This window comes from Homo sapiens, chromosome 4 (assembly GCF_000001405.40).
Source record: "Homo sapiens chromosome 4, GRCh38.p14 Primary Assembly".
Classification (NCBI taxonomy): Eukaryota; Metazoa; Chordata; class Mammalia; order Primates; family Hominidae; genus Homo; species Homo sapiens.
This window is the reverse complement of record NC_000004.12, coordinates 49,255,035-49,283,015: the sequence shown is the minus strand read 5'-3', so window position 1 is coordinate 49,283,015 and position 27,981 is coordinate 49,255,035. Positions and strand designations below refer to the sequence as shown.

Below are 27,981 nucleotides of genomic sequence, written 5' to 3'. Positions count from 1 at the left end.
CAGGCCTCCCACACTAATAACAACGGGAAGCCCTACGTTGTTTTACCTGTGCTTCTCAGCAACTGGCTATAAATCAGGTTGCCACCACTCCCAGATTTAGTTGCATTCATTTGCTGGAAGAGCTCACGGCACTCAGGGAAACACTTACATTTGCCGTTGTATTTTAGCGGACATTGCAAAAAGTTCAGAAATAAATGTGGGGCCCGGCATGTGGGGAGGGGCGCACTACCTTCCAGGAAGTGTTATCCAGAACCTCTCTGAACCCAGTCCTTTTGGGTTTTTATGGAGACCTAATTCTATAGGCATGATGGGTTAAACCATAGGCTATTGGTGATCAACTCCACCTGAGGCTCTCAACCCTCCCTGGAAATTGGGGTTGAGGCTTTGCCATTCTCAGTCTGAATAAAAGAATTTACCCAAACGGAATTTTAAAACAGATGAGCACAACTGGAATCTTAATTAGATGATTGGATTATCTGGAGCCACACCTTGATATTCCGAACCCAAGCACCTTCATCCAACGAATGCTCCACCCAACTGGCTCCCAAGTCTCCACGTGGTTCCAGAGCAAAAGAATGTTTATACAACGCATATCTCCACCTTTTCTTCAAAGTCTTTTCGCTTACACGGAAAGACTTCTTAAACTGCCATGCATCAGGGTCAGGGGGAGGTCTTGTTACAACACAGATCTGTGGATCTCCGGGGTTTGATTGTGGCAAGGATGCTGCTGGTGTCAAAAACACAACGTGGAGAACCACAGAACCACTAGTTGGTTTACAGTGTTTCAGTGCATACAATTCCTAATATATCTGGCCAAGAAAACTTGGAAGTTCTTAGATTGTCCCAAAGGTGGCGCATGAAATCAAAGCAGGAGAACAGTTTCCTACGCCTGGGAAAGTTGGGGGTGACTGACGGAAAGGAGGAGTGAAGCTCCACCCTTTCTGCTGCTAGGCTGCGCAGGAGGCTATTTAAACCCACCCTGGCTGGCCTGTACTCAGATCTTCGCGGAGGGGATCGGCGGCCGGAGCCTTTGGCGGACTCTGCGTCGACTTGGAGCTCACGGCGTCTTGCGACTTGGAAGCGGATTCCGAGGACAGGACAGAACACTTGGGCAAGTGAATCTCTGTCTGTCTGTCTGTCTGTCTGTCTGTCTGTCTGTCTGTTTGTGTGTCTGTCCCATTGGTTGGTTGATTTCCATTTTCTTAAGGGGCACATACCTCACACCGCACACACACAGACACACACACACGCACACACACGCACACGCTCACACACACGCACACACACTCCTTCCTTCTGCGAGTTAGAAAATTAGTAGGGGCCCCTGGGAGCTGCAGGTTTCCTAATCATGTCTGCTCCTAAGAACAGTAGGGTCTTGTCTGGCTCTTCTTATGAACGGTCCCACAGCCCGGACTCCCCAAGGTCCATGCGAGCCTCACCCAGCTTCTCCCTCTCCCATCTCAGAAACTCAGGCTTAAGGGGAAGCTCCTCACCAGGGATCCGGAGCTACCATTCACCATCCCCTAGGGCTTCACCACACTCACCTCTGTCATCACCAGAATCCCACAAGCTCCCATTTCCCTGTCCTGACCGTGATGGGCAATCAATGAAGTCATCGGGCTCTCCTCTGTCCTCCTCTGAGGATTCCTCAGAGTCCCCAGGTTCATCAATAATATACCACATGTTCTTACTGCCATCACCCAGCAGCTCACCCCCAGCTCTCGGGGGGTCTCCTGTGTCTCCCAGCTACTCTCCAAACAACCCCAGATTTCAGCTGGAGTCAGCCCCCCACACCCAGGAATCACCTACAAACTCACGAGCCTCACGGTGCTCCACCCCTGTGTCTTTCATCTCTTCACCCCCAGGCCTCAGGGACTCTCCCGTGGCTCCCAGTTACTATCCAGCCATCCCCAGGTTCCTGCGGGATTCAGTCGCATGCACCCAGGAGTCCCCCAGAGACTCACAGGTCTCGGGAGAATATGAGCGGTCCCCCAGCCCTGACTCCTCAAGATTCATGCCTGCCTCACCCAGCTTCTCCCTCTCCCCTCCCAGAAACTCAGACCCAAGGGGCAGCTCCTCACCAGGGATGTGGAAGTACTCTACATCATCCCGCAGGGCTTCACCACTCTCACATCCATCATCAACAGAATTCCACAGCTTTACGTTTCCATTTCCTAACCAAGCAGGACAGTCACTCATGTCATTGTGTTCTCCCGTGTCCTCCTCTGGAGATTCTTCACAGTCACCTCATTCATCAATAATATACCATATGTTCTTACTGCCATCATCCAGCAGCTCACCCCCAGCCACCCATGACTCTCCTGTCTGTCCCAGCTACTCTCCAACCACGCCCACATTTCAGCGGGAGTCTGTACCCCACACCCCAGAAACACCTACAAACTCACAGACCTCAGTGAGATCCTGGCCAGTCTCTCTCACGTCTTCACCCCCAGCCCTTACGGACCCTCCAGTCTGTCCCAGCTACTCTCCAACCACGCCCACATTTCAGCGCGGGTCAGTTCCAGGAACCCAGGGATCACCGCCAAGCCCACCACTTTCACTGAGTTACTCCCCAGTCTCTAGCACGTCTTTATCTCCAACCCTCAGGGACTCGCCTGTCTGTCCCAGCTACTCTCCAAACACGCCCACACTTCAGTGGGAGTCCGTTGCAGGCACCCAGAAATCACCACCAAACTCACCAATTTCACTGCGTTACTCCCCAGTCTCTCTCATGTCTTCACCATCCCTCAGGGACTCTCCCATCTGTCCCAGCTACTCTCCAACCACGCCCACATTGCAGCTGGAGTCAGTTCCAGACACCCCGGAGTCACCACCAAACTCACCAGTTTCACTCAGTTACTCCCCGGTCTCTCTCATGTCTTCACCCCCAGCCCTCAGGGACTCTCCGGTGGGTCCCAGCTACTCTCCAACCATGCCCAGATTTCAGCGGGAGTCAGTTCCAGGCACCCAGGTATCACCTACAAACTCAGCAGTTTCACTGAGTTACTCTCCAGTCTCTCTCATGTCTTCACCCCCAGCCCCCTGGGACTCTCCTGTCTGTCCCAGCTACTCTCCCACCACGCCCAGATTTCAGCGGGAGTCAGCCTCCCACACTCCAGAATCACCTACGGACTCACAGACTTCACTGAGGTCCTCCCTGGTCTCTCTCAGGTCTTTGCCCTCAGCCCACAGGGACTCTCGTGTCTCTTTCAGCTACTCTCAAAACTTCTCTAGATTCCAGCTGGAGTCAGTTCCAGGCACCCACGATACACCACCGAACTCACGAATTTCACTGACTTACTCCCCAGTCTCCCTCATGTTCTCACCCCCAGCCCTCAGGGACTCTTCTGTCTCTCTCAGCTACTCTCCAACCATCTCCAGATATCACCTGGAGTCAGCTTCCTGCACCCAGGAATCACCTACAAACTCACGGACCTTACTGCAACCCTCCACCATTTCTTTCACCTCTTCACCCCCTGCCTTCAGGGACTCTCCTGGGTCTCCCAGCTTCTCTCCAGCCTTCCCCAGATTTCTGCCACAGTCAGCCCCAGGCACCCAGGACAACCCTAGACACTCACAGGCCTCACGAGAGTATCTCCCTATGACCTGTACCTATACAGGGATGGCTCCCACGCATCCCTCAGTGACACAAAACCCATCTCCACTTACACTCAGACACTCCCAGGGCCTGACAGCTACTCCCCGTTATTGTCCTTCAGTTCGAAGTCCTGGCCAATCTACTAGCCCACATGACGCAGTTACCTGGCCATTACTCCACGGTTCCCGTGAGGGCCCCACACCCAGCCTCACAAGAGCCCCTCCTGCATTCCGTCCTCACACGCAGGCCTGTCCATCTACTTGCTACTGGCACACTCTTGCCAGCAGAAGAGGCCCCTGTCATGGCCGATATCACCACCCAGTCTATCCTCACCCCACAGCTGTGCAGCGGGACCCTCCTGCTGGCCCACGTGGCTGCCAGAGCCCATGCTGGCAAGACGCTCCAGCAGGTCGGCGTCCCTGTGGGACACACTGCCCGTGACATGGCTAGCATCACCCTCCTTCCTGGCATTGACACTGTTGATGTGAACCCCAGTTTCACATCTGTCATTTGTAAATAGGACCATTTTCCCTTTTCGCTCTCCCTTCCATTCACAGGGCTTTTCATTCTCTCTGTTTCTGCCTCCGTTTCAGATATTTACTCACCTTTTTCTCTCTCACTATGTCTGCCGTGGTCTCCATGAGAGTGCGCCACATAAGATTCCCCCATTAAAAGTCATGAATTGAGTGGCTTTTAGTATACCTGTGGTTGTGCACATTCAATTTTAATTCGCAATCCATTGTAGAACGTCTTATCACCCCCGACCAGAGAAAAACTCTGTAGACATTAGTCACTCCTCATTCTGTTTCAATCCCTCAGGGCCTGATGGGAAGGCACTTTCGTCTGTGGGGGACCCATTCCCTGCTTCTCCTTTGCGCGGTTTTTTTTTTTTTTGCTACGATAGATGCCTTTCCTCTCCTTCCTCAAATCTCACCTTCCCCTCATGTGGCTTCTGTCTGCCTTGGGGTACACCTAGCGGCCCGAGGTGCACTGTGGGATCGAACCAGGGACTCCAGGGTCCCTGAGGCCCAGCACGAGGCCTGATGGGAAGATACTTTCGTCCGTTTGGAGGACCCAGTCCCCGCTTCTCCGCGGCTGTGTTTGTTTTTCTCTGCCCCAGGTGCCTCACCTTCCCCTCTTGTGCTTTTTGCAAGCTTTGGGGTACCCCTAGCGGCCCAAGGCATACCCTGGGCTTGAACCATGGAAGCCAGGTTCCACAGGGTCAAGCGCAGTGGCTGATGATAAGACACGTTCTTCCTCGGGGACCCAGGCTCTGCTTCTCTGTGGCGTTTTTTTTTCTTTTCTTTTCCACAGGTGCCTCACTTTCCCGTCATGGGCTTTCTGCCCGCCTTGAGGTACCCCTAGCCGGCCCGAGGCGCACCCTTGTTTTGAGCCAGGGATGCTAGGGTCTCCGGGGCCCAGTGTAGGGCTTATGGGTAGGGACGTTCGTCCATGGGGAACCCAGGCCCCACTTCTGGTGGGCGCAGTTTTTTATTTTGTTCTCTGCCCCAGGTGTCTCACCTTTCCCTCATGGGCCTTCTGTCTGTCTTGGGGTACCCCTAGCGGCCTGAATCGCACCCTGGTCTCGAACCAGGAATGCCAGGGTCCCCTGTGCCCAGCGCAAGGGCTGATGGGAAGACACTTTCTTCCGTTGGGGATCCAGGCTCCGCTTCTCCGTGGTGCAGTTTTTTTTTTTCTGCCACAGGTGCCTCACCTCTCCTTCCTCAAACCTCAACTGCCCCTCATGGGATTTCTGCCCTCCTTGTGATACCCCTAGCAGGCCCGGGGCGCACCCGGGGCTCGAACTGGGGTCTCCAGCGTCCACAGGGCCCAGCGCAGGGACTGATGGGAAGGCATTTTCATCCTTGGGGTACCCAGGCCCAGCTTCTCCTAGGCGCGGCTTGTTTTCTTTTTTTTTTTCTGCCACAGTTTCCTCACCTCTCCTCCCTCAAACGTCAACTTCCCATCATGGGCTTTCTGCTCTACTTGGGGTACCCCTTCCGGCCCAAGGCTCTCCCTGGACTCGAACCATGGATGCCAGGGTCGCCGGGGCCTAGCGCAGGGGCTGATGGGAATGTACCTTCATCCGTGGGTACCCAGGCCCCGCTTCTCAAAGCTGCGGTTTTTTTTCTCCGCCCCTGGTGCCTCACCTTCCCCTCACTGGCCTTCTGCCTGCTTTGGGGTACCACGAGCAGGCCCGAGGCGCTCCCGGGTCTCCAATCAGGGTCGCCAGGTTCTCGGGGCTAGCGCAGGGGCTGATGGGAAGGCACTTTCATCAGTGGGGACCCAGGCCCGGCTTCTCCGAGGTGCTGATATATATATATATATATATATATATTTTTCTGCCACAGGTGACTCACCTCTCCTCCCTTAAATCTCGCCTTCCCCTCATGGGCTTTCTGGCTTCCTTAGGGTACCCTAGCATGCCGGAGTCTCTTCTGGTCCTTGAACTAGGGTCGCCAGAGTCCAGGGGGCCCAGCGCAGGGGCTGATGAGAAGGCACTTTCGTCCGTGGGAGACCCAGGTCCCGCTTCTCTTCCGCACGGTTTTTTTTTTTTTCTGCCGCAGGTGCCTCACCTCTCTTCCCTCAAACCTCACCTTCCCCTCATGGGCCTTCTGCCCGTTTTGGGGTACACCTAGCGGGCCCGAGGTGCACCCAGGCCTAGAACCAGGGTCGCCTGGGTCCACGTGGCCCAGCTCAGGGACTGATGGGAAGGCACTTTTTTTCCATGGGAGACCCAGGCCCCACTTTTCCGTGGCGCGGTTTCTTTTTCTTTTCTGCCACAAGTGCCTCACCTCTCCTCCCTCACAGCTCACCTTCCTCTCATGGGCTTTCCACCGTGTTGGGGTATCCCTAGTGGCCCGAGACTCTCCCTGAGCTCCAACCAGGGACTCTAGGTTCCCCGGGGCCCAGCGCAGGGGCTGATGGGAAGGCACTTTCATCCGTGGGGTACCCAGGCCCCACCTCTCCGCGGTGCGGGTTTCTTTTTTTTCTTTTTCTGTGACAGGTGCCTCACCTCTCCTCCCTCAAAACTCACCTTCCCCTCACGGGTTTTGTGTCCCCAAAGCCCCCTTGGGGTGCACTTAGCGGCCGAGGCACACCCTGAGCTCGAACGAGGGACACCAGGGTCCCTGGGTCCCAGTGCAGGGACTGATGGGAAGACACTTTCGTCTGTGGGGCTCCCAGGCCGTGTTTCTCCGTGGTGAAGTTTTTTTTTTTCTCTGCCCTAGGTGCCTCACCTTCCCCTTAGGGGCTTTCTGCCCACCTTGGGGTACCCCTACTGTCCCGAGGCGTACCCCAGGGTCAAACCAGGGACGCCAGGGTCCCCAGGGCCCAGCGAAGGGGCTGATGGGATGGCACTTTCATCCGTGGGGGACCCAGGCACTGCTTCTCGGCTGAGCATTTTTTTTTTCTCTGCCTCAGGTGCCTCACCTTCCCCTCATGGACCTTTTCTTTGCTTTGTGGTACCCCAAGCTGTCCCGAGGCGCACCCTGGGCTCGAACCAGGGTCGCCAGGGTCCACCAGGCCCAGCATAGGGCCTGATGGGAAGGCACTTTCATCCGTGGGGGACCCAGGCCCCGCTTCTCTGAGACGCGGTCCTCTTTTTTTATTTTTTCTGCCCCTGGTGCCTCACCTCTCCTCCCACAAACTTCAACTTCCACTCATGGGCCTTCTGTCCAAGTTGGGGTACCCCTAGTCGCCTGAGGCACACCCCGGGCGTGAACCAGGGATGCCAGGGTCCCTGGGGCCCAGCGCAAGGCCTGATGGGAAAAAACTTTCGTCCCTGGATGACCCAGACACTGCTTCGCGGCGCATTTTTTTTTCTTCTTTGCCCCAGGTGTCTCACCTTCCCCTCATGGGCCTTCTGCCTCTCTGCGCCTGCGCCGGCGCTGTGGGCCTCTCTGCGCCTGCCCCGGCGCTGTGGGCCTCTCTGCGCCTGCCCCGGCGCTGTGGGCCTCTCTGCGCCTTTCGCCCGCGCTGTGCGCCTTTGCGAGGGCGGAGCTGCGTTCTTCCCAGCACAGCCAAGGAGAGCATCGCCAGGGCGGAGCTGAGTTCTCCTCTGCACAGACTTCAGAGATACAGCGAAGGCGGAGCAGTGTTCTCCTCAGCACAGACCCAGGCGGGCCGGGGGCACCGCGAGGGCGGAGCTGCGTTCTGCTCAGCACAGACCCGGGGGACACCGCTAAGGCAGAGCAGCGTTCTCCTCAGCACAGACCTTTGGGGCACTGCCTCGCTTTGGGACAACTCGGGACCGCATAGACGGTGAATAAAATCCTTCCCTTTTGCAGCCCTGAATAATCAGGGCCAGAGACCAGTTAGAAGGGCTCAGTGTGGAAAAGGGAAACCAAAAGCCCCTCTGAATCCTGCCAACCGAGGTTCTCCCCAGCCAAGCCGAGGCGGCCACAGTGCGAGATCCACACCGCAGACTCGGAAGACAAATGCAGCATTCCTAATGCAGACATGACACCCAAATTATGACACTCCCATTGCTCATGTAACAAGCACCTGTAATGCTAATGCACTGCCTCAATACAAAAATATTAATATAAGATCCGCAATCCCCTTGCTGCCATGCAGTCCTAAGACAGAGATCATAATAATCAACATTGACATAGTACAAACGTAGTAACGAACCTAGGGTTAAGGTTGGTGTTAGGGTTAGGGGTTAGGGGTTAAGTTTAGGGTTAGGGGTTGGAGATAGGGGTTGGGGTCAGAGTTAAGAGTTAAGAGTCAACGTTTAGAGTTAGAGGTTAAGAGAGGTTAGGGGTTAGGGATAAGGGGTTAGGGTTGGATTAGTGTGAGGGTGAGGGTTGTGGTTAGGGGTTAGGCTTAGGGGTTACGGTTAAGGGTTAGGGTTAGGGTCAGGGGTTAGGGGTCAGGGTCAGGGGTTAGGGATCAGGGTCAGGGGTCAGGGTCAGGTTCAGGGGTCCCACTCTGAGTTGTCCATTTAGTCTGCTGACTGTTCCTTTTGCCATGCAAAAGCTGTTTAGTTTAATTAAGTCCCAGCTATTAATCTTTGTTTTTATTTCATTTGAATTTGGGTTCTTGGTCATGAAATCCTTGCGTACGTCAATGTCTAGAAGGGTTTATCCAGTGTTATCTTCTAGAATTTTTATAGTTCAGGAATTAGATTTAAGTTCTTAATCCATCTTGAGTAGATTTTTGTATAAGATGAGAGATGAGAATCCAGTTTTATTCCCCTACATGTGGCTCGCCAATTATCCCAACATCATGTGTTGAAAAGGGGGTCCTTTCCCCACTTTATGTTTTTGTTTACTTTGTCGAAGATCAGTTGGCTGTAAGTATTTGGGTTAATTTCTGGGTTCTCTCTTCTGTTCCATTGGTCTATGTTCCTATTTTTAAACCAGTACGTTGGTGTTTTGGTAACTATGGCCTTATTGTACAGTTTGAAATCAAGTAGTGTGATACCTCCAGGTTCTTTTTGCTTAGGCTTGGTTTGGTTACATGGCTCTCTTTTGGTTCCATATTAATTTTAGAATTGTTTTTGTAATTCTGTGAAGAATGATGGTGGCATTCAGATGGGGATTGCATTGAATTTGTAGATTGCCTTTAACAGAATGGTAATTTTCACAATATTGGTTCTACCCATCCATGAGCATGGGGATGCATTTCCATTTGTTTGTGTCATCTATGACTTCTTTTCTTTCTTGTTTTTTTTTTTTTTTTGTTTTTTTTTTTTTTTTTTTTTTTTTTTTTTTTTTTCAGAAGGAGTTTCGCTCTTGTCGCTGAGGTGGGAGAGCAATGGTGTGATCTCGGCTCACTACAACTTCTGCCTCCCGGGTTCAAGCGATTCTCCTGCCTCAGCTTCCCGAGTAGCTCGGATTATAGGCATGTGCCACCGTGCTTGGCTCCATCTATGATTTCTTTCAGTAGCGTTTTGTAATTTTCATTGTAGCGGTCCTTTGATTCCTTTGCTAGGTATATTCCTAAGTTTTGTTTTTTTGTTGTTGTTGTTTGTCGCAGCTATTGTAAAAGGGGTTGAGTTCTTGATGTGATTCTCTGCTTGGTAGCTGTTGATGTATGGAAGAGCTACTGATTTGTGTCCATTAATCTTGTATCTGGAAACTTTGCTGAATTCTTTTATCAGTTCTAGGAGGTTTCTAGAGGAGTCCGTAGGGTTTTCTAGGCAAAAGATTATATCATCAGCAACAAGTGACAGTTTGACTTCCTCTTTACCGATTTGGATTTCCTCTATTTCCTTCTTTTGTCTGATTGCTCTGGCTAGGATTTCCAGTACTATGTTGAAGAGGAGTGGTGAGAGTAGGCTCCTCGTCTTGTTCCAGTTCTCAAAGGGAATGCTTTCACCGTTTCCCCATTCAGTATTATGTTGGCTGTGGGTTTGTCATAGATGGCTTTTATTACATTAAGGTATGTCCCTTGTATGCCTATTTTGCTGAGAGCTTTAATCATAAAGCAATGCTAGATTTTGTCAAATGTTTTTTCTGCACCTGTTGATATAATCATATTAGATTTTTTTTAATTCTGTTTATTTGGTGTATCACACTTATTGACTTGCATATGTGAAACCACTCCTATATCATTGGTATAAAACCCACTTGATCATGGTGGATTATTTTTTGATATGTTGTCGGATTCAGTTAGATAGTATTTTGTTAAGGATTTTGGCATCTGCGTTCATCAAGGATATTGGTCTGTAGTTTTCTTTTTTGGTTATGTCCTTCCATGGTTTTGGTATTAGGGTGATGCTGGCTTCATAGAATGAATAAGGGAGGGTTTCTTCTTTCTCTGTCTTGTGGAATAGTATGAAAAGATTGGTATCATTTCTTCCTTGAATGAAAGAAGACATTCTTTGAATGTCTGGTAGAACTCTGCTGTGAATCTGTCTGGCCCTCAGCTTTTTTTGCTGGTAATTTTAAAATTACCATTTCAATCTTGCTGCTTGCTTTATTGGTCGGCTTGGGGTATCTAATTCTTCCTGATTTAAGCTAGGAGAGTTGTATTTTTCCAGGAATTTATCCAACTCTTCTAGGCTTTGTAGTTTATGTGCCAAAAGGTGTTCATAGTACCCTTGAATAATCTTTAATATTTCAGTGGTGTCAGTTGTAATATCCCCTGTTTCATTTCTTAGTGAGGTTATTTGGATTTTCTCTCTTCTTTTCTTGGTTAATCTTGCTAATGGTCTATCAATTTTATTTATCTTTTCAAATAACCAACTTTTTCTTTTATTTATGTTTTGTATTTGTTGTTGTTGTTGTTGTTGTGTCAATTTCATTTAGTTCTGCTCTGATCTTTGTTATTTCCTGTGTTTGCTGGGATTGGGTTTGGCTTGTTCCTGCTTCTCTAGTTCCCTGAGATGTGAACTTAGATTGTCTGTTTGTGCTCTTTCAGACTTTTTGATGTAGGTTTTTAGGACTACAAACTTTGCTCTTAGCAGTGCCTTTGCTGTATCCCAGAGGTCTTGATAGGTTGTGTCATCCAGTTCGAATAAATTTTTTACATTTCCATCTTGATTTCATTTTTCACCCAATGCTCATTCTGTGAGGAACAACCAAATTGTTTTCCGCAGCAAGGGCATCATTTTCTATTCCTAGCAGCCAAATCATGAGGGCTCCAACTTCTCCACCTCCTTAGCAACATTTATTTTCTGTGTCATTGTTATGAAAGCCTTACTTGTGGGTGCAGAGTGGCATGAATGTAGTCAATTAACACGTTTATTACCTCACAGAATCGTCACCTTTTTGTGTGCATGGGTGGGATAAGAAAACTTAACTCTATCCCCTGTGACGGAGTAGTGGCCATTCCAGCTGCTCCAGGCTCCAGCAGAGGAAGACCGGGGTATGTGGCCCCACCAGGGTGACCCTCAGGCCTGGCGCGCACGCATTCCAGAGGCCACCCAAACCATGCTCCGCCATCTGGGCGCCCAAGCTGCCGTCGCCCTCTGTGTGCAGGCAGCAGCTGCCTGGCAACCCCCGAGCCCGCTCGCGCTCCTAGCATCACAGAAGCAGGGCCACGTGTCCCAGTGGCTGCAGCCAAGCCAGGCATTCTGCCCTGCGGCAGCAGCTGCACAGGAGCGAGAACTGAGAACCCACCGCTCAACCCCACACGAGGTGACTGCCGAGTGCCCATACAAACGGCTCCGATCTCCCTCAGGTGGAGGAGTGGTCGGGAGGCACGGCCTGGGGGCCCTGAGGCTGGGCGCGCTGGCGATCCCAAGGCCGACCAGGCCATGCACTTCCAGCCCGCCTGGGCACCCGAGCTGCAGCCGCCTTCTGCGTGCAGGCAGCAGCCTCCAGGCAACTCCCGAGCTCGCCCACACTCCCCACATCTCGGAAGCAGGGCCAAATGTCCCTGTGGCTGTGGCCAAGCCAGGCGGTCTGTCCTGCAGCAGCTGCACAGGGGCGGGAACCGGCCCTCAGCCCCATCCCCGGTGGCTGCAGAGGGCCCCTGGATAGAGACCTGGAGCTCTGACAGAGGAGGAGCCGGGCCGGGGCAGGGTCTGGCAGGCTCTCAGGCCAGGGGCACCCGCGATCCAGAGGCGGCCCAGGGCATGCTCCACCACCTGGGCACCCAGCTACAGGCGCCGGGCGACTCCCAAGCTGGCTGGCGCGCCCAGCCTCGCAGAACTGGGGCTAGATGTCGCCGTGGCTGCGACCAAGCCAGGCGGTCTGCCCAGGGGCGGCTGCACCGGGGCAGGAACCGACCCTCAGCCCCATCCCCGGTGGCTGCAGACGGCCGCTGGGGCGGCCCCGATCTCTCTTCGGAGGAGGAGAGGGGCAGGAGTCACGGCCAGGCGGGCCCTCAGGCGGGAAGGAATGCGCGCCTGCGATTCCGGGACGTCCCGCGCCAGCCCAGGAGAACCTGCAAGCCAGCGGCGCCTGTTTCTCTGTGTGATTCTTTGAGGAACCACCAAACTCTTTTCCACAGCAAGTGCATCATTTTCTATTCCTAGCAGCCAGTTCATGAGGGCTCCAGTTTCTCCACCTCCTTAGCAACATTGATTTTCTGTGTCGTTGTTATGAAAGCCTTACTAGTGGATGCAAAGTGGCGTCTCATTTGGGTTTTGCCTTGCATTTTATTAATGAATAATGGTGTTTAGCATCTTTTCTTTTCCTTCTTAGACATTTGTGTATCTTCTTTGGAGAAATGTCTGTTCAAGTCCTTTGCCTATTTTTTTAATTGGGATCTTAGAAATTCTGTTGTTGAGTTGTGGGATATTAAGCTTTTATCAGATACACATTTTGATTTTATCAGATACATATTTTCTCACATATTATGGGTTGTCTTTTCACTCCCTTGATAGTATCCTTTGATGCATAAAGGGTTTTTTTATTTTGATTAAATCTAATTTTCGTGTATTTTCTTTTGTTATCTGTGCTTTTCTGTCATATTTCAAAATACACTTAAAACTCAAAGGTCATAAAGGTTTACCGTGTGTTTTCTTCTAAGAGTTACATATTTTTAGTCCTTACATTTAAGTCTTTTATTAATTTAGAATTAATTTTTGTATATACTGCAAGGTAGGGGTCTAACTTCTCTCTTGTGCACTGACATCCAGCTGTTGAAGAGACTGTTCTTTCCTCCCTTGACTAGACTTGGCCACCTTGTTGAACAGTCATTGACCATATATGTGAGGACTAACTTGTAGGATCTCAAATCTGTTCTATTGTATTTGTCTGAAAGTCTATTGGTCTTATTCCAGTACCACACTCTCTTGATTACTGTAGATTTGTAGTAGGCTGTGAAACTGAAAAATGTGAGTTTTCCAATGTTCTTTTTCAAGACTGTTTTGTCTGTCAGATCCTTTGAATTTTTGTATGATTTTAGAATGAGTTTCTTTGTTTCTGCAAAAATGCCTTTGGGATTTTGATGGTATTGCATTGAATCTGTAGATTACTTTAGATGGTATTGTCATCTTAACAATATTGTCTTACAACCCGTGAACACAGAATGTCTTTCCACTTATTTCCACTCTCTTTAGTTTTTTGCAGCAATGTTTTGTGTATACCACCATGGTTAGATTTATGCCTGAATAACGTATTCTTTGATGTCATTATAAATGGAATTTTTAAAATGTTTTCATAGTTCTTTACAACTATATAGAAATATAGCTCATTTGCCTATGTTTGTTTGCATCCTGCCTCTTTTATTAGTTATAATCGGTTTTGTGTTTTGTTTGGAGCTTTATACCTACAAGATCATGTGTAGATATAATTTTACACCTATTTTTTATTTCTAATTTAGATGCCTTTTATTTCTTTGTCTTGCCTAATTGCTCTGGCTAGAACTGCCAGTGCTACGTTGAATACAAGTGGCAAATGCACCATCCTTTTCTTCTAGATATTAGGAAAACAGCTCTCAGTGTTTCATCATTGATCATGATATTAACTGTTGGGTTTTTGTACATCCCATTGTCATGTTGCAGAAGATCCCTTCTATGCCTAGTTTATTGAGTATTTTTATTATAGAAGGGTGTTGTATTTCATCAATGTTTTCTCTGCATCAATTGAAATAATCACGTGCTTATTCATTTTACTGTTACAGCATATTACACTGATTGATTTTTTATATGTTGAACCACCCTTGCATTTTGGGGATAAATCTCAAAGGGTGATAGTTTACAATCCTTTGATTATACAGTATTGCTGCTAGTATTTTGCTAGTATTGCTAGTATTTTGCTGAGATTTTTGCTTATATATTCATAAGGGATATAGTGCTGTATTTCTCTCTTTTGTGCTCTCTTTGTCTTTGGTATAAGGATAATGCTGTTATCAAAAAATGAATTAGCAAGTATTCCTTCTTCATATATTTTGTCAGAAGAGTTTGAGAAGAAATGGTATTAATTCTTCTTTAAATGTTAGGTTGACTCACCAGTTAATGCAGCTATTTGGTCATAAATGTTTCTTTGTTAATCGCTTTCGATTACTAATTCAATCTCCTAGGTTATAGGTCTATTCAGATTTTCTCTTTCTTCTTGAGCCACCTTGGTAGTTTGTGTCTTTCTAGCGATTCATCCATTTCATCCAGGGCACCTAATTTGTTGCTAGACAGTTGTTCACAGTATACTCCTATAATCCTTTTGTATTTCTGTAAAGTTGGTAGTAATGGCTCTGCTTTCATTTATTATTTTAATAATTAGTCTTCCATCTTTTGCTCAGTCAATATAGTGAAAGGCTTGATCTTTCAAAGAATCTACATTTTTTCATTCTACTGCTCTCCAACCTTCTATTTGATTGATTTATGCTCTAATTATGCTCTTTATTATTTCTTTCCTTCTGCTAGCTTTGGATTTAGTCTTCCACCTGGATTTATTTTGGGAGTGATATTGATGTAACTTCATGGAAATAATACTAGATAGAAAGTTAGCAGATAGATTCTCTATCTGATGAGAGTTTGGGGCAAGTCGAGTACCAGGTTACCAAGTTTTATTTTTTTCTCTGACCCAAAAAACAATTTGGCAGCCGGTGAGAAACTCTCACAGCTCTGGATGTGAGTTTAGGACACTGCATTTCTACCATTCAATTTCTTACTACTTTTTTGCACAGGGATCATGGCACAAGTTGCAGTTTCCACCCTGCCCATGGAAGATGAGGAGTCCATGGAAGATGAGGAGTCTGTTGAAGATGATTCCGTGGAGAGCAGGATGGTGGTGACATTTCTCGTATCAGCTCTCAAGTCCACGGTGAGACCTTCTGTTCTAATATGATATAATTGGGTAGAACTGGGTGGTAGATAAGGTTGATTTGTTTTTGTAGAACTTATAATTTTATGATTTGTAGTTCTAATGAGTAGATCTTTTTCTGGAATAGTAGTTATGGTCAAACACTTCTAACCAAAAGTGCCATGTTGTCCAGTCTGGTCTCAAAATATGGGGCTCAAGAGACCTGCCCACCTTGGCCTCCCAAAATACTGGGATTACAGGTGTAAGCCCCTGAATCTGGCCAGATATTTTTCTTTTTATGGCTGAATAATACTCTGTGTATGTATATATTACATTTTCTTTATCTATTCACCTACTGATGGGCATTAGGTTTGGGCTACCTTTTGGCCACTGTGAATAATGCTGCTGTTAATCGGGTGTACAAATACCTGTTTGAGTCCCTGCTCTCAGTTCTTTTGGGTATATACGCTTAAAGGGTGTTGATGGATCATATAATTCTATGCTTCATATTTTTAAGGAGCTGCTAAACCATTTTCCACAGTGGGCTGTACCATTTTACATTCCAAAAAGCAATGCATACAGCTTCCAATTTCTCTATAGCCTTGCTGACAGTTAATATTTTCTGTTTATGTATTGTATTTTTATAGTGTTTGAAATTAATCTGAGGCTTTTTGCTGATACCAAAATATTAGGAAAGGTTTTCCAAAAATAATACTGCTTATTATAAAGGATTTTACGTGTTACTTGATGCCCTGTGATCTGTTTTCTAAGTAAGAAGAGGAACTTCTTGGCTGGGCACAGCGGCTCATGCCTGTAATCCTAGCACTTTTGGAGGCCGAGGTGGGTAGATCACCTAAAGTCAGGAGTTCAAGACCAGCCTGGCCAACATAGCGAAACCCAGTCTCCACTAAAAAAAAAAAAAAAAAAAAAAAAAAAAAAAAAAAGAAATTAGCTGGGTGTGGTGGGGGGGTGACTCTAATCCCAGGTATTCGGAAGGCTGAGGCAGAGAATTGATTAAACCCATAAGGCAGAGGTTACAGGGACCGAGATTGCACCACTGCACCCCAGGCTGTGTGACAGAGCGAGAGTCCATCTCAAAAAAAAAAAAAAAAAAGGAAAGAAAGAAGAGGAACTTCTCTCCATCCAGCCTCATTCCACTGCACCAACTCTTCTGTGTCGGGTTGTGCACGGGAGAAAGGGAGCTTGGCAACTCTTTGCTGTGTTGAGTTGTGGTAGCCCATCACTGGGTTGTAAAGTGCCTTGCCTCCTTTCCTCCCCTCCTTTTTCTTTGAGACAGAGTCTCACTCTGTCATCCAGGCTGAGGTGCAGTGGTGTGATCTCTGCTCACTGCAACCTCAGCCTCCTGGGTTCAAGTGATTCTCCTGCCTCAGCCTCCCAAGAAGCTGGGACTACAGGCACATGCCACCACACCTGGCTAATTTTTTTTATTTTTAGTAGAGACAGGGTATCACCATGTTGGCCAGGCTGGTCTTGAACTCCTGACTTCAGGTGATCCACCCACCTTGGCCTCCCAAAGTGCTGGGGTTAAAGGCATGAGACACTGCGCCCGTCCACCTCCTCTTTTACTTGGGAGAAATGCACAGATTCTGGGTGCCATGTGCATTTGTTTTGGGAGTGATAATTGATCTAACTTATGGAAATAATACTAGATAGTTAGCGGATGGATTCTGTATCTGATGAGAGTTTTGGGCAAAACTCCTAGTTTCTGAGTCTTATTTTTCCCCTGATTCAAGAAAACTGTGAATTATCCAGCCAGTAAAAAACTCTCACAGCTCCGGATGTGAGTTTAGGACACTGGATTTCTACCACTCATTTTCTTACTACTTTTCTTGTGCAAGGATCATGGCACAAGTTGCAGTTTCCACCCTGCCCATTGAAGATGAGGAGTCTGTTGAAGATGAGGAGTCCTTGGAGAGCAGGATGATGGTGACATTCCTGTCAGCTCTCGACTCCATGGTCAGACCTTCTGTTCTCACATTCTGTAGTTCAGTAGGACTGGGCGGTAGATAAGGTTGATTTGTTTTTGTAGAACTTACAATTTTGTGATTTTTAGTTCTAATGAGTAGACCTTTTTCATGAATAGTAGTTACGGTCAAACACCTCTGACCAAATGTGCATGTGGAGTTTCTACACTGATTTTCAGACAATCTGGATCCCAACTGGGTATCCCACAATTCCATCCTGACACTCCCTGGAGTTAGTGCAGACCCCGCAGGATGGGAGCTCAGTCCCAGGAGTCTACCCTCACTCCACATGCCAATTGCAAGTCTTGGGTTGTTACATGTAGTTTTGACCAACCAGTTAGAAAACAGAGTTTCATGACCCCCATTGGTGGGTGGAATCATTTGCTCGGACAGCTTGCAGAACTCAGAAAAACAGATTGTTTTCTTTTTTTCTGAGATACAGGGTCTCAGTCTGTTGCCAGGCTGGAATGCAGTGGTGTGATCAAAGCTCACTGTAGCATGGGACTCCTGGGCTCAAGTGATCCTCCCACCTCAGCCTCCCAAATAGCTGAGATTATAGGCCTGTACCAGCATATCTGGCTATGTTCTCTTACTTTTTGTAGAGATGGGGGGGTCTTGTTATGTTGCCCAGGCTGGTCTCAAATTTCTGGGCTCACATGATCCTCCCACCTCAACTTCACAAAATGCTGGGATTATGGGCATGAACCACTGCATCTCACCAATTTATTTTCTTTTACTGGTTCATTTTAAAGGCTAAATCTCAGAAACAGCCAGTGAAAGAGATGTACATGCTGGGCACAGTGGCTCATGCCTGTAATTTCAGCACTTTGGGAGACTGAGGCGGGAGCATCGCTTAAGTGCTCAGGAGATTAAGACCAGCCTGGGTAACAAGGTGAAAATGCATCTCTACAAAAAGATTTTTCTAAAAATTAGCCAGGCACAGTTATCTATAGTTCTAGCTACTCAGTGCCTATAATTCTAGCTACTCAGGAGGCTGAGGTGAGAGGATGAGAGGATGGGGCTTGAGATAGGGAGGCATAGTTCGCAGTGAGCCACGATTGTGCCATGGCACTCTAGGCTGGGAGACAGAGCCAGACTCTGTCTCAAAAAAAAAAAAAAAACACACACAGGGCAAGGTATGTCGAGAGGGGTACAGAACTTCCATGTCCTCTATTGTGCATGTTACCTTCCTGGTATCTCCCTTGTGTTCAGCAACCCAGACATTCTCCAACTCCAGTTGTTAAGGGCGCTTATGAACGCTTCATTATGCAGGCATGATTGATGAAATCATTGACCATTGGTAATTAAGTCAGTCTTCGGCCACTATTTCTTCCTGGAGCCCAGGGGGTGAGGCTGACAGTTCCAAGCCTCTAATCACATGGTTTGTTCTTCTGACAACAACCACCCCTTTTTCTGAAGCTGTCTAGGAGCTTTCAGTCACCCAGTCATCTCAGTAACATCACCAAATGCATTCTTACTATGGTGATCCCAAAGGTCTTAGAGGCTCTTGTGTTAGAAACCTGGGACTAAGACCAAATATTGAAACAGAAGATGCCCCATCACTTTCATCACCAAGGCCTTTATAAGAGCTTGAGAAGCTCTGTGCCAGGATGAGGGGCAGAAACCAAATGTGTATTTCTTTTCTTTTTCTTTTGAACACAGAGTCTCTGTTTCACCCAATCTGGAGTGCAGTGATGGTGTTGTAGTTAACTGCAGTCTCAACCACCTGTGCTCAAGCAATTCTCCCACCTCAGCCTTCCAAGCATCTGGGACTACAGGTGCACACCATCCATGCCCAGCTAATTTTTGTATTTTTTTTTGTAGAGATGGGATCTTGTTATATTGCCGAGGCTGGTCTTGAACTCTGGGGCTAAAGCGATCCTTTCACCACAACCTCTCAAGTAGCTGAAACTACAGATGCATACTACCATGCCCAGCTAATTTTTTCTTATTTCTTTTTGTTGTTTAATTGAGGGGGTCTCGCCGTGTTTCCCAGGCTGGTCCTGAAGTTTTGGCCTCAAGCGTTTCTCCTGCTTTGACCTCCTAAACTGTTGGGATTATGGTTGTGAGCCACGGCCTCTGTGTCCAGCAATCACAAGAGGTCTTTATAAGTGAAAGAGGGAGGTAAGAGAGTCCGAATTGAAGGAGATTTGATGATGGAAGCACAGGTCACAGAGGGAGATTCGAATATGCTTTGCTTCTGGCTTTGAAGATGCAGTTAGGAGCCATGAGCCAAAGAATAGCAGTGGCTTTAGCAACTGGGAAAGGCAAGGGAACATATTCTCTCCAGAACCTCCAGAAGGGATGCAGTCCTGCTGGCACCTTGACTTTAGCCTTAATAGACCTATTTTGGACTTCTGGCCCCCAGACCTCTTAGTTAGTAGATTTGTGGTGTATTAAGCCACTCAATGTAGGGTAGTTTGTAACAGCGGCAAGAAGAAATGAACATGAAGCCAGAATTGGTGGCCCACACCTATAATTCCAGCTATTTAGGAGGTTGAGGCAGGATGGTTTCTTTGGCCCAGCAGTTCACGATAAGTCTGGCCCTGAGGCAGGACAATTTCTTGACCTAAGAGCTCCAGGTCTCAGTGCGTTGTGATCATGCCATGGCACCCCAGTCTGAGTGACACAGCGAGATTATATCTTAGAAAAAAAAAGAAAAAAGAAATGAGTGAGCATGGCAGGAATAGGGACAGATAGCAATATTAAATAAAGTGGTCAGGGTTGGCCTCCTAAGTGAAAATTGAGCAAAGACTTGAAGGAGGGGAAGGAGCTGGCCAAGGTACTGAGGGAAGAGCATTGTAGGCAGAAACAACAGAATAAAGATGCTAAGAGGGAACTCCGTGGTGTGTCTGAAGCTCAGGAAAGAGGTCTGTGGAGTAGAGAGAGGGAGAGAAGTAGGGAAGGAGGCCAGGGAGTTGTTGGACTCAGATCAGTGCAGATTGTGTAAGCCCTGGGAGGTTATTGCTGGGGCTTTGGTTTTTATTCTGTCTGAGATGGGAGATGAGGAAGGGTTCTGAGCAGAGAGGTGACGCGAACTGTCTACTGATTTAAAAGCATCCCATGGCAGCTGAGTTGAGAAAGATTGTGGGAAGATTTGGGTAGAAGCAGGGAGGCCATGCTGTGGCAACCTCCAGGTGGGAGATGATAATGGTTCTGACCAGGGCCCTGGCAATGGTGAGAGATGGTTGATTCTTGTTGAAATAGTAAGTAATTAAAAAAAAACCACTACTGCTTTTCCCAATTATATGAAGTATGGGATGCTAGATTACAGAAATCTTAAGTCGGGCCAGGTGCAGTGGCTTATGCCCGTAGCTTCAGCACTTTGGGAGGCAGAGATGGGAGAATGGTTTGAGTCCAGGAGTTTTAGACCACCCTGGGCAACACAGCAAGACCTCCTGTCTATGCAAATAAAAATTAATAAAATATAATTATCCCGGCATAGTGGTATTTTCCTGTAGAACCTGTTACTTAGGTTGTTGAGGTGGGCAGATCTCTTGAGGGTGGGAGTTTGAGGCCAGCTTGGGCAACATAGCAAGGCTCCTCTTTCTACAAAAAAAAAAAAAAAAAATTAGCTGGGTGTTTTGGTGTTCATCTGTAGCCATAGCTATGGTGAGGGTGAGGCAAGAGGATCCCCGGAGCCCAGGAGGTCACGGCTGCAGTTAGCTATGAGTGCACCCCTGCATTGCAGCCAGAGTGACAGAGTGAGACCCGGTCTCAGAATACAGATACAAGTAAAGAAATCTCAGCTCAGAGCAGTCTGTTTGTCACTATGCAGCCTTTGCAACCCCATAGCTGCGCGATTGGGTTTGTGTTGCTGGAGGTGAGGAGACCCGTGCCCAGGTGTTGTTGCCTGTCTAATCAGTTTATTTTAAAATATATTAATGAAATTTATTTCATCATACTTTATGGCCTCATACCTGAATGGTTTTTTGAATTCTCCTTTGAATAGCTTGTAACTATTCAAACCTCTTATTGGTTCTATAATTAATTCTTTTTCTAATTAGCTTTTTAAAAATCAGAATTGATATTAGACCAATCAGTTATTAATGAGGAGATGAAATTGAGTTGTTTGTACACTTTATCTAAGATAGTGTTATATTGGCTAACTCAAATCAGTAGTTCAGCAAATGCAGAATCAGAGCTTCTTCAGCGTGGAACTCTCTTGTGGTTCTTGTGGTTCTTGAAGATGCCGTTTCTTTTTTTTTTTTTTTTTTTTGAGACAGCATCTTCCTCTGTCACCAGGCTCGAGTGCAGTGGCACAATCTCAATTCACAGCAACTTCTGCCTCCCGGGTTCAAGCATTTCTTTTGCCTCAGCCTCTGAAGTAGCTGGGACTACAGGCACATGTCACCATGCCCGGCTAAGCTTTGTATTTTCTGTAGATACGGGGTTTCAGCATGTTGGACAGGCTGGTCTTGAACTCCTGACCTTGTGATCCACTGGTCTTGGACTCCTAAAGTGCTGGGATTACAGGTGTGAGCCACCGTGCCTGGCCTCTTTTTTCAGTCTTTAATAAACTGCTGCCATCATTTCAGACCGCTTGCTATTTTAGGCACTTAGAAATTTTTCAATGGAATTCATGTAAAGAAAGACCATGGGTGTTTGTACTGGATTTAGTATTCATCCTTCGACTGCATGACTCACCCCTAGTGCCATAATTTTACTAATGAATTTTTCAGATACTACTCAGCTGGCCACTGAACCTAACCAGCAACCCACCCTCAACCATTCAGTGGTCTTTTGTTCTTCTCTGTTCCTCCTGAATGTTGATTACTCTCAGAAGGTGATAAAAACTTGGATTTCTTTTTTTTTTTTTCTAGAGACAGGGTTTTGTTCTGTCACCCAGGCTGCAGTGCGGTGGCATGATCATGGTTCACTGCAGCCTGAAACCCCGGACTCAAACAGTCCTCCCACCTCAGCCTCCCAAGTAGCTGGGACTACATACATTTGCCCCTATGCCCAGCTAACTTCTTTATTTTTTATTGTACAGATGGGATCTTGCTGTGTTGCTCAGGATGTTGTCAGACTCCTGGCCTCAAGTGATCCTTCTGCCTCAGCTTCCCAAAGTGCTTGGATTATATGTAGGTGGGAGCCACCTGTGTTCAATGCCCATTTTCTTTTTCTTTCTTTCTTTTGGAGACGGACTCTCACTCTGTCATGCAGGCTGGAATGCAGTGGTGTGATCTCAGCTGATTGCAACCTCCACCTCCCTGGTTCAAGCAACTCCCCTGCCTCAGCCTCCCGACTAGCTGGAATTACAGGCCCATGTCACCACTCTCAGCTAATATTTTTGTATTTTTAGTAGAGACAGAGTTTCAGTATGTTGGCCAGACTGGTCTCGAACTCCTGAAATCAGGCAATCCACCCACCTTGGCCTCCCAGTGTGCTGAGATCAGAGGCGTGAGTCACCACGCCATGCCCAGCCATTTTTAAAATAATAACGTTATTGAAATATGATTAACGTATCATGCAATTCATTTATCAAAGTACGCAATTCAGGCCAGGTGCAGTGGCTAATTCCTATAACGCTAAGACTTTGGGCAGCTGAGGCAGGTGGATCGCTTGTGTTCAGGAGTTTGCGACTAGCCTGGGCAACATGGCAAAACAGCATCTCTAGCAAAGATACAAAAATTAGCTGGGTGTGGTGGCTCATGCCTGTAGTCCCAACTACTTGGGGACATGAGACTGGATGATCACTTGAGCCCGGAAGCCATAGGTTGCAGTGAGACCAGATGGCACCACTGCACTACAGCATGGGTAACAAAAGGAGACCCTGTCTTTAAATAACTAAAGAAAAAAGAAAGTATACAATTGAGTGGTTTTTAGAATATTCAAGGAGCTGTGCATCCATCACCACAGTCTTTCTTAGAAGTGATTACCCACTTGTGAGTTACCCACTTATGAGTGAGAAACCCTCACCTCTTAGCCACTACCTCCTACGTACCCCATGTTCATAGGGTACGTATGTTTATCCATTCATTAGTTGATGGACATTTGTGTTGTTTTTGCGTATTCACCATCATGAGTCAGGCTGCTATGAACACTCGTACGTAAGTTTTAGTGTGAACATATATTTTTATTTCTCTTGGATTTACACTCAGGAGTGAAATTGTTGCATTATGTGATTACTATACATTTAGTCTTTGAGAAACTGCCACGTTGTTTTTCAAAGTGGTTACACTGGTCAGGCACAGTGGCTCACACCTTTAATCTCAGGTATTTGAGACGCTGAGTTTGGAGGATTTTCTTAGCTCAGGAGTTCAGGACAACCCTGGGCAACATAGGGAAACAATGTCTTGATTTTTTAAAAAAATCAAATGCCAAGAAAACACCCAAATTGATTACACCATTTTATGTTCCCACCAGTAATGTATGTGAGTTCCAATTATTCCAATTGTCACCAACTTTTTTTTTTTGAGACAAAATCTTGCTCTGTTGCACAGGCTGGAGTGCAGTGACATGAACATGGCCAGTGCAGCTGTGACCTTCCAGGCACAAGTGATCCTCTCACCTCAGCCTCCTAAGTAGCTGGGACTTACAGGTGCATGCTATCATGTGCAGCTGATTTTTACAGTTTTTGGTAGAAATGGGGTGTTGTCATGTAGCCCAGGTTTGTGTCAAACTCCTGAGCTCAAGTGATCTGCCTGCTTCAGCTTCCGGAAGTGCTGAGATTACAGGTGTGTGCCACCATGCCCGACTGGTGTAACCACTTTGGAAAGCAGCCACTGAGCCCGGCCTTCACCAGTATACCAATATTTGTTAATATCGTTTTATTTTTTACAATTTTTCCATTTTTAAAAACTTATTCTTTTACCTGTATTATTGATTATAATAAACAACGAATAATTTTGCAGTAGAGTCCCCCCAAAAAGTATTTATTGTTTAACTGAAGTAGTTTTTTTTTTTAACCTGGATATATATTTTTTCATTTTCACTTTATTTTTAGTGTTTATTTTTAGAAATTATTTATATGTATTTTTATTTTAATAGGTGTTTGAGAAACAGGTGGTGTTTGGTTCCATGAATAAGTTCTTCAGTGTTGATTTCTGAAATGTAGTACCCCTCATTACTTATTAAATTATATATTAAGTCATTATAAAATAATTAATAAACCAAGGACTTTAGTAAAATGGGAATTTTATTTTAACTTGCAACCTGGGACGTAACTGTCAAAAAAATTAGAGAAATTACCACATTAAGGTTTTAAAATCTTGAACTGAAAAATGAAAACCTTGGTGCACCTAAGAACCACCAGCCCACTGGTCAAAGTGAACAAAACTAAATGAAAAAATAAAACCAAGAAAACCAAACTCAGGATTATTAGGTATTTTGTAATGCTATTTTATCTTTGGACTCACAGAATATTGTTATTATTATTATTACTCTTATTATTATTATTATTATTTTGATATGGAGCCTCACTCTGTCACCCAGGCTGGAGTGCAGTGGCGCAATCTTGGCTCACTGCATCCTCTGCCTCCTGGGTTCAAGTGATTCTCCTGCCTCAGCCTTCAGAGTAGTTGGGATTACAGGCAGGTTCCACCATGCCTGGCTAACTTGTATTTTTGGTAGAGACAGGGTTTCACCATGTTGGCCAGGCTGGTCTGAAACTCCTGATCTCAAGCAATCTGCCTACCTCAGCCTCCCAAAGTGCTGGAATTACAGGCATGAGCCACTCTGCTCAGCTGAAAATAGTTAATTTTATGTATATTCCAACTCAGAATACATCCTATTTTTGAATATTTGATGACTTTAGGATACTATATTAACTCTTAATTGAATTAATACAAGTTTAGGTGTAAAGATGATGTTTATGTTGACAAAAATTATTAATGTTTTACATATATGAAAGTAACAATATCATATATTTTTCATACTTGTACAATACTTTGAAATCTATTATTAGCTAATATTTTATATTCATTTTGCGTTTTCACATTATTGTTAGATCCAGAGAAAAGTAATATTGTGTGAATACTCAAATCATAAACATTTTGCTGGATGCATTCATAGATACTTTATTTAAAAAGTACATTAATTGAAGTTTTACACCATTTTATGATTCATCAAACACAGCAACTGAATACTGGCGTATAGCAACATTACAGATGATGTTAGTCTAAGATAAAACTCATAACACATTTTAAAAAGGGTAAAAGGAAGGAAAGGAAAAAGGATACAAGGCTGTAGAAAGATTTTAAAAACAAACGTCATATGTCTGAACCTTTGCCTGGAGTTTCATATTTTGTGAAAAGCAGTTTGTAAGTAGAGGACTCGTAAGTGCACCTAGTACACTGCAATGGCACAGACACGGCAGATAGTCAATAAAATGACCTTTAACTTCTGATCTAGGTTATTTTTGTTGTTGTTCATGTATTAACCTAGTGAAACTCGCCAATAGATGGAGTGGCATTGACCTGTACAACTTCCAAAATCCCATCCAACCTTAGTGTCCTCTGAAGTTCTCCATAACTTATTGTCTGTTCCAACCAACATTTAGCATAAGCTACAGCTTATATTGTTAATAATTCTTCTATGTTTATGTGCTGATTTGCAAATAAATGGGCCTATATAGTCTTTATCTAGTGTTGGATTGGGATCAAAAGTTTCATGAAATCATTGTTTTTAGTATACGTACAGATGGATAATTGTATAAATAAGTACAGATGTGTATAAATGTGTGAGTATACATACATATATTTTCTAGCTCCTCTAACAAAAGGGCCTAGAAACAACATCATCCCAGTAACAATGAGAACACCATTCTCCAATTAAAGGAACCAAGGCTCCTTGGGGACATATTTGATATCAGGATTGGGCAGGGAAAATACAAGATTAGTTTGAAATATTTTGTCATGTTAGGAAGTAAGGAAATGCTCACAAAATGGGGAAAATGTGAAAGGGAAACAGATCCACTTTGAATAAACTTCCATAGCCAAATTTGAGAAAATTGGGGCAATAAAATAGATAACAATAATAATATATTACAATCTACAGGAGAAAATTTTCAATTAATCCAGGCCAGGTGCAGTTGCTCATGCCTGTATTCCCAGCCCTTTGGGAGGCAGAGGCGGGCAGATCACTTGAGGTCAGGAGTTCAAGACCAGCCTGACCAATGTGGTGAATCCCTGCCTCTACTGAAAATACAAAAATTAGCCGGGCATGGTGGCACATGACTGTAGTCCCAGCTACTCCGGAGGCTGAGGCAGGAGAATGGCTTGAATCCCGGAAGGTGGAAGTGCAGTGAGCGGAAATCGCACCATTGCACACCAGCCTGGATGACAAAACAAGACTCCAACTCAAAAAAAAAATCCATATTGACATAAATAATAAACCAAAGATTGAGAGTGGGTAGTATTTTATTACAGTAAGATTTCATTAAATGTAGGAGACATAAAATATAAGAATCATCACTTTGCAAATATCATAGTAATAATTGTTGCAAGAAAGAACCTTGGAGGAATGCTAAGATTAGTGGTGAATATATGTTGGGAAAGAACATATTTGCATAATATGAAAGTATCTTCCCACAAGATAATTATAGAATAGTAACTTCAAAGTGGAGATGTCAACTTAGCCAAGTGATCATAGTTAACATTACTAATAATAAGATAAATGAACTTCATGTAATTTCTTATATGATGCACTGAGTAGGACAAAACATCAATTCTATGGTATTCTTAGACAAAATGTATAACTTTAGTCCTAACCGTGAGAAAACATCAGACTAACTGAAATTGAGGCAGGACATTCTACAAAATAACGGCCAGTATTCATCAAAAGCATTTTAGAAAGACTGAGGAATTCTCCAGAGACATGGAGGCATGTTATCTAAGTGCAATGGAGAACATGCATTGTATCATGAACCAGAGATGGACAACAGTAGGATATGTACAATAACACCCCAACATTTGAACATTAAACAAAATACTTCAGAAAAACCCATTGGCCAAGAAAAGTTTCACACACAAAAAAAATAGTTTAAACTGAAATAAAATTTTTTAAAAACTTAATAAAATGTGGGATGCAGATAAATCGTTTCTTAAAGGTACATTTATAGATGTAATATATTGAAAATAAAAGGCTTCAATCAATGACCTTTAAGTTCTTTTTTAAGAGGCTAAAAAATAAGCAAAGTATATCCAAATTAAGAAGAAGGAAGATGATAAAGATAAAAATGTAAACCAACAACATAGCAAATAACAAAAGGTGGAGCTAATTAATATACCCACAAATTGGTTCTTTGAAAAAAATTTTTTTAATAAACAATGGCTAGCAAGATTTATCTCGAAAAAAATTAGAGAAGCTACATAATGTAGATAATGGGAATTAAATAGAGGATGTAACTACAGAACCTACAGACATCAATATAATTATGAAAACTTTAGGCCAATACATTTGACAATTAAAATAACATGGGAAATTATTTGTAAAACTAATTCTTAAAACTAATGCAAAATGAAATAGAAAAAGTAATAGCTTCTCTATGTATTGAAGAATTTTTTTAATTTAAAAAGATTTCTATAATTACAGGCTACATGCTTTCTCAGGTGAATTCTATCAAACATTTAAGAAAGTACAGAGAGTCCTCAACTTACAGTGGTTTGACTTGTGCTCTTCTTACTTGATAATGGTGCTTTCATCTGTGTACGTTAATGATGAGCATCAATATGACCAGTTTTTCACTATCAGTATAGTTTTCAATAAATTTCATGAGAAACTCAATATTTTAAAATGGGCCTTGTGGTAGATG

General features: G+C 45.3%; 1 pseudogene, besides 4 other annotated features; it reads left to right on the top strand.

Moving 5' to 3' along the window:
• Positions 1–3,749: 3,749 nt before the first annotated feature.
• Positions 3,750–12,611, top strand: LOC124900865 (translation initiation factor IF-2-like; annotated as a pseudogene).
• Positions 11,129–11,900: an enhancer, noted in NCBI's record as "H3K27ac-H3K4me1 hESC enhancer chr4:49273133-49273904 (GRCh37/hg19 assembly coordinates)". NCBI's record gives its function as "activates a minimal SCP1, AML or CMV promoter by ChIP-STARR-seq in naive and primed H9 embryonic stem cells {active_cell/tissue: H9 hESC(naive and primed)}" and the evidence as "EXISTENCE:reporter gene assay evidence [ECO:0000049][PMID:30033119]".
• Positions 11,129–12,672: a biological region, named in NCBI's record as "H3K27ac-H3K4me1 hESC enhancers GRCh37_chr4:49272361-49273132 and GRCh37_chr4:49273133-49273904".
• Positions 11,830–12,124: a silencer, noted in NCBI's record as "tiled region #1861; HepG2 Repressive non-DNase unmatched - State 20:ReprD, and K562 Repressive non-DNase unmatched - State 25:Art". NCBI's record gives its function as "represses a minimal TATA promoter and a strong SV40 promoter by Sharpr-MPRA in HepG2 and K562 cells {active_cell/tissue: HepG2 | K562}" and the evidence as "EXISTENCE:reporter gene assay evidence [ECO:0000049][PMID:27701403]".
• Positions 11,901–12,672: an enhancer, noted in NCBI's record as "H3K27ac-H3K4me1 hESC enhancer chr4:49272361-49273132 (GRCh37/hg19 assembly coordinates)". NCBI's record gives its function as "activates a minimal SCP1, AML or CMV promoter by ChIP-STARR-seq in primed H9 embryonic stem cells {active_cell/tissue: H9 hESC(primed)}" and the evidence as "EXISTENCE:reporter gene assay evidence [ECO:0000049][PMID:30033119]".